Source organism: Homo sapiens, chromosome 21, assembly GCF_000001405.40.
Source record: "Homo sapiens chromosome 21, GRCh38.p14 Primary Assembly".
In the NCBI taxonomy this organism is placed as follows: domain Eukaryota; kingdom Metazoa; phylum Chordata; class Mammalia; order Primates; family Hominidae; genus Homo; species Homo sapiens.
In genome coordinates, this window is record NC_000021.9 from 28,535,480 (window position 1) to 28,542,481 (window position 7,002).

Consider the following 7,002-nt stretch of genomic DNA (forward strand, 5'->3'; position numbering starts at 1 on the left):
AAACCCATCTAATGAGAACTGATGGTTTGTAGGGCATGAACTCCCTAGACCTCTTGGGTAAGAATTTGGCCAAGATAAAAAGTCAGAGCTTAATCCTCACTACAGTATCTACGGGTCAGAAGTCTTGGCAGAAGTTAGCTGGATCCTGTGCTTATTAGGGTCTCACTAGGTTGAAATCAAGGAGTCAGAGGGGGCTACCATCTTTTCTGAGACTACTGGTCATCTTCCACATTCATGGGTTGTTGGCAGAATTCGATTGCTTACCTCTGTAGGACTAACACCTAGCTTTCTTGCTGGCTCTCTGCTGGAGGCCACTGTCAGCTCAGTTTTGAGAGACCACTAAGCCATTTCAGGCCAACAGAATAGCCTTGTTTTAAAAGACATTATAACTATGTGTCTTTCCTGAAAATATTGGTAGAGGTCATTCTTTTCATGCATTACTTGTTGAGTTATAAATTTAGTCTCTGCTTAATTTTTATAAAGGATTTTTAACAGCATTTTAAGAAAATATAGTATAAAAAATAGGATGAGAAAATTGAGGCAAGGAGAAAATAAGTACAGGTGAAATAATGCCCAAGGTGAACGTTATATCCCAAACTGCATAATATAAAATTCTACTATATAGCTGTCCTACATTTACAATCTAAGCATGCTATTAATAGTTAACAAAGCAGAGAAGGAAACTGACATTCCTTCAGAAAAGCTTTTTTCAAGCACAGAAACCTAATCGAAATTTCTTCCATGAATCCTCATGAAAAGGGCACCAAGTGGTAGAGTGAGCAACATTGCAACTGGCCTCCCTAAATAAATCCAAAGGCATAGTTCCAACACATAAACTCTATAAAAATATTTAATAATTGTATAAGAAAACAAAAATGTGGTTTAATTTGGCATGATCTAGGCATGGAATTTAAAATACATTAAAAAACGCATAGACTACAAATTCTTTAGTAAGTTATCCATGAATAGCATTACTCAAACTGAGTTTTTGATAAAAATTACATGGCAAAGCATTTTAAGTTACATTCTCTGGCTAAAACCTGAAGGTTATACATGGCATGTAGGGAATAGCTAGAGGATTATCATGCTTTGACAATCAAATAGGCCTGCAGGGATACTGACATCCCCTTATTAAAATGAGGAGCCTAACTAAGACTTGGGCTTGGATAGACTTTCATCCAATGACTGTATGGAGTTGATTCAAGGTAGTGACTTTGGGCAGAGCCAACATTTTACTCACTCCTGGGGCTGATGCAAATATGGGCAAATCAGTAAATGAAGGTCTAAATTCTCCATGAAAGACTATGGCTGCAAGAATTTTCATATAGAAAATGTTATGAACAGGTGTTACAAATAACCAGAGCACCCATTTATAATGTTGGTGAAGTATCCATAGAACAGTGACTATAAAATCCTGAAATTAAACTATGTTTGTCTTCTGATGATTCTTTACAGTAAATCAGAAAAGCATTGGTATAGATTTTTCTCCAGCCTACTTAGAAGCCAAGGAATAGAAAAATTTGTTTAGTTACATTGGTCCAGAGTTTGAGATTGTCAAGGTGTCATGACAAATCTACCATAAATTTCATAAAACCACCAAAAGGTATTAGATCTGGAGAACACAGCAGAGTTAAGAACTTGACAATTATGGTGAGGGTTGAAGGACAGGCAAAAAGGGAGCAAGATAATTTGAGTGATAAAAATAAAGGGTCCTTTTGTTAAAGTAGGAAATTTCTGGCTTTCAGTTTCCTAAGAGAATCAGATCCGGTGGTGAGAAATTTCAAGGTATAATCACACACATGAATGGCTAATGTGAAATTAAGGAAAGTTTATAGAGTAGAAAAGCTTAGGAATGGTGAGTCTAGAGTTGCTGAGGACTCAATGTCCAACAGCCAAAATATACTCACCTACTTCAAAAGAACTATACTCTGAGCTTCAATTATTTGCTAGTTGTTATTTCCTATTTACTTATGTAAGTTACTTAGTTAAACTGGTTTGAAAACAATAGCCAGCAAATAAAGTGCAAATTGTTTCATAACTAATACACTTTGTCAAGCTAATTGAACTCTACGTGCTAAGGACTTTGGCATCAACAATGATGACTAATAGCTGAAAAGGGAGATGAAGAAAAGTTAATGTGAGGGAAAATGAAAACTTGGATTTATAGTGTAGTCCAATTGACTAAAGTTTCAAAATAATATTGACATACTGATAGTAAATGGAAAAAACGAATGGTGGAGAAAGCAGTCACGATTTCACAGAAAACCACTTCCAATAGAAATACCATTTTAGATTGCTCATCTTCTAAATGAATGTTTAAAATGCAATTTTTAAGAGAAAGTTTTATTTCCATTGTGGTTACTAATGCATCTGAGTCACTTGTATATTCTTCTCCAGTGTGATGTAAAAAAGGCCAATGAAGAAATAAATCACTTTGATAAATACCTATGTTTAACAGAACATCTTAGGAAGGTCATCCTTAAAGACCACGTGTTAAGTTGGCTGAGTATCAATACAATGAGTATGCATTGATTCACAAGGAACTCATGTCCCTAGGGCTCCAGTTTCTAAGAGTGGTCCACAGTGGTAGCTTCAAGCTGAACTCTGAACGTGAAATGAAATCCTATGTCATTTGAATTTTTTCTTTTTTTTTTTTTTTTGAGACCGAGTCTCGCTGTGTTACCCAGGCTGGAGTGCAGTGGCGCGATCTCGGCTCACTGCAAGCTCCACCTCCTGGGTTCACGCCATTCTCCTGCCTCAACCTCCCAAGTAGCTGGGACTACAGGCGCCCGCCACCACGCCCGGCTAATTTTTTGTATTTTTAGTAGAGACAGGGTTTCACTGTGTTAGCCAAGATGGTCTCGATCTCCTGACCTCGTGATCCACCCACCTTGGCCTCCCAAAGTGCTGGGATTACAGGCGTGAGCCACCGTGCCCGGCCTGAACTCTTTTTCTATTCTCGAAATTGTGAGATCCTCTGACAAATTCTGCTAACAGTTCCAAGGTTTAAAACTGGGGAAGTTAGAGACATGTTATTATTATTTTTTTTAATTTCAACTTTTATTGTAGACACAGGGAGTACATGTGCAGGTTTGTTACATGGGTATATTGCACCCAGGTATTGAGCATAGTACTCAATGGGTAGTTTTTCAACCCACATCTCCCTTGCTCCCTCCCCTGTCTAGTGGTCCACAGTGCCTAATGTTCCCATGTGTATGTCCATGTATGCTCAATACCATAATCCTAAGTGAATTAATGCAGGAACAAAGACATGTTTTTGTTTTTGTTTGAATGCTACATCTGGGGCTGGCTAGGATTGAGAAGACACTATGTCTTGCTGATATGTCAGTCGCAACTTCAGCCTCTTTTGTGTGTGTGTGTGTAAAAAAGAAATCTTTTTTATTTATTTATTTTCAAATTATAAATTCATAGGGTACATATGCAGGCTTGTTACATGGGTGTATTGCATAATGCTGGGTTTAGGCTTCTAGAGAACCCATCACCCAAATAGTGAACATAGTATCCAATAGGTAGTTTTTCAATTCTTGTCCCCCTTTCCACCCTCCCCACTTTTGGATTTCTCAGATCTATTTTTTCCATCTTTATAGCCACCAACATGAGTCTTTTGATGAAATAATGTTTGGCTGAGGTCCACAACTTAAAACAACATTCCAATATAGATTCTCATGATCCCTGAAGAAGTGTGTCTGATGTGGCTAAACATCATCAAATGAGTAAGTCAACATAGTAAAAGAAAAGAACAGTTCTTTATCAGATTAAATGAGCGAAACAGCTAAATGTCAAGTGACAAAACATTGGGACTGACTGTATAAAATGCTAATAACATCTACCAAACAGTTTACATTGTGCTAAACAACTTATGCACATTATTTCTTTGATTCTTTTTAACACATGGTTGTGGGCTGAATGGTGTCTCCCAAGAAGTCATATGCCGGGATCCTGTCCCATAGTGCCTCACAACGTGACATTGTTTGGAGTTAGGGTTGTTGAAGATGTCATTAGTCAAGATGAGGTCATACTTGAGTGAGGTGGGTTTCTAATCCAATGTGACTGGTGTCTGTGAAAAGGGGAAATGTGGACACAGGTCCACATATAAGGAGAACACCATGTGAAGATGAAGGTAGAAATTACAGTGATGTGTCTACAAGCCAAGGAACACCAAAGATTGACAGAAAATCACCAGAAGCCTAGAGAGGCATGAAACATTCTCCCTCAGAGCCTTCAGAAGAAAGCAATCCTGCTGGCACCTTCATCTTGGACTTTGAGCCTCTAGAACTGTGAGGCAATACATTTCTGTTGTTTAAGCCACCCAGTTTGTGGCATTTTGTTACAGCAGCACTGGAATCCTAATGGATGCTGTATTAGATAAATATTTTAGGCTTAGGTAGGTATTTTTTGATCACTTCTATGCAATGGCTTGACTATTGTTCTATTTGTCCCTAAATCTGGTTCTTCAGCCTCCCCAGTGATTCTGTGAGCTAGTGATCATCCTTTAACAGCCTTTTTATGATTAAGTCACCCAGGATAGTCTCTGCTGCTTACATCTTCACAGGAAGAAGAGAACTGTAGACATGCAGCAGCCATCTTGTGGATATGAGGGAAGAGCCAAATAGACTACAAATCGGTTAACACAGAGAACTAAAATTGTGGAGCTACTGAATGAACCAGCTATGGAATTGTCTGTGTGTGGGCATTCAGATGGACATACCGGATAAAATTCTGGACTGGTAAGAGTGTGGGGAAATTGCCAGTCTTAAGCAGTGCTGATGGAGGTGTGAATTGGTAAAACAATTTGAAAAGTAAGTTGCTAGTTTTTATAAAATTTTTAAAAATAAATGTATTCTCTGACCCAGTATTATCTTTTCTGGGAATCTATTTTACACATTAAAAAAGCACTAGATTGTCATATACTATATATATATATATATGTCATATATAGTTATACATATAAGCCATATATATTTATACACATAATTATATATCTATTAAAATACCTGAAGGAATGGTCAATATAAAGAGTATCATCCAATTTTTAAAGAAGACAGGGATAAAAACCCCTCTGTGCTTTTTGGGGGGATCTATTTGTATGGAGCAGATAAACACATGGAAAGATAAGTATCAAACTGTTGCCATTGGTTACTTCAAGGGAGTGAGTTTATAACAAGAAAGTGGAAGCAGATAACATTAAAGTTTTCCTTATATGACTCAGTATTATTTGACTCATTTCAATAAGCATGCATTATTTTTTACATAAAACACATCCGGAGTGGAAAAGCTTTTTCCAAACACTGTCATTATGTCATGCTAATAAGTGAGTTTTGGGAAGCAGCATAGTCCAGTGGTTGTGAACACAAGATTGGAGTAACTTCTGGATTTAAATACTGGCCTTTTACTAACTGTAGAGTTTGAGCAGAATACTTTCTCTTTAAGTATAGCTGTCCTCATTTACAAATGGAGATGGTGATATCTGTTAGTCCCCTGCCTTCTACTGCCTGCTGTAGGACAATTTCCCATTCCTTTCAGCAACCCTTCAGTGAAGAGAGGGGCCACAAAGGCAAAGGAATCTTAGCTAATAGGCACTATAGCAATTTTCTAAATACTTTATTTTTTTTAGAGCAATTTTAGGTTCACAGAAAAACTAAGAGTCAGGTGCAGAGATTTCCCATATGCTTCCTGCCCCACATGCATAGTCTCCTGCATTATCAACATCTCCCACCAGAGTGGTACCTTTGCTACAATTGATAAACCTATATCAACACATCACAATCATCCAAAGTCCATAGTTAATATTAGGGTTTACTATTGCTGTTGTGCACTCTATGAATCTGGGCAAATGTATAGAGACATGTATCTATTACCATAGTACCACACAAAAGCATTTCCACTGCTTTAAAAACTCTGTGTCTGCCTATTAACCCTCCCAAACCATCATAGTAACCTATTTCATGAGAGACCTACAGCTTATTACCTTGCTGTGTGGAATGAAAACTCTCTCACAAAGAATAGGAATTATCTTCTCTTAGTTGGCCTTGGAATAAGTACAGAGAAGTTAGCAAATGCAGATGCTTGAAATCTGAGCTTGCTGTTACCCTGAAAACAAAGCACACAAGACTGCCATTCTTTGTGCTAGCAATTTTCTTCATTTGCTGTATATCCACAAGGAATGGAGAAGTGTCTTTCTTTTTGCCTCTGTCTGAAGAAATATACACCATACCTTATTTATTCAAGTATTTGATTTAATTCATAGGTATAACCTCATAAAGAAAGTTTTTAATCCACCCTACCTAAGCCTAAAATATTTATCCAATACAGCGTCCATTAGGATTCTAGTGCATAGGATTGCATAGAAGTGATCAAAAAATACATGTTTGAGATGAAGCATATGTTAATTACCCTGATCTGATCACTCATTCTGTCGCCAGGCTGGAATGCAGTGGCGCAATCTCGGTTCACTGCAACCTCTGCTTCCCCGGTTCAAGAGATTCTCCTGCCTCAGGCTCCTGAGTAGCTGGGACTACAGGCGCACGCCACCACACCCAGCTAATTTTTGAATTTTTAGTAGACACGGGTTTCACCATGTTGGCCAGGATGGTCTTGATCTCTTGACCTCGTGATCCACCCACCTCAGCCTCCCAAAGTGCTGGGATTACAAGTGTGAGCCTCCGTGCCCGGTGTTTATTTTTTCAATTTTTAATACATTAATTTAATGAAAAAATAAACAAGACCATTCCAAAATCATGGAAAATAAAAATGCACACTACTACCAATTCTGCACCAAAAAATTAAACTTGCAGTAACTGCCAACTGCCTCTAGATAATTTTTTTTTTTTTTTTTTTTTTTTTTTTGAGACAGAGTTGTTCTGTTGCCCAGGCTGGAGTGCAATGGTGCAATCTTGGCTCACCGCAACCTCTGCCTCCTGGGTTCAAGCTATTCTCCTGCCTCAGCATCCTGAGTACTGGGATTACAGGCATGTGCCACCA

General features: G+C 38.0%; 1 long non-coding RNA gene across 2 annotated transcripts; it reads left to right on the forward strand.

The window, feature by feature from the left end:
- The first annotated feature begins 3,838 nt into the window (after positions 1 to 3,838).
- LINC00161 (long intergenic non-protein coding RNA 161) lies at positions 3,839 to 4,876 on the forward strand. 2 transcript variants are annotated; one of them, NR_026552.2, is made up of 2 exons: positions 3,839 to 4,405; positions 4,574 to 4,876. It is a non-coding gene; the product is annotated as a long intergenic non-protein coding RNA 161 (long non-coding RNA). The 2 variants fall into 2 exon arrangements; NR_026553.2 differs by having other exon boundaries at positions 3,839 to 4,049.
- Positions 4,877 to 7,002: the final 2,126 nt, after the last annotated feature.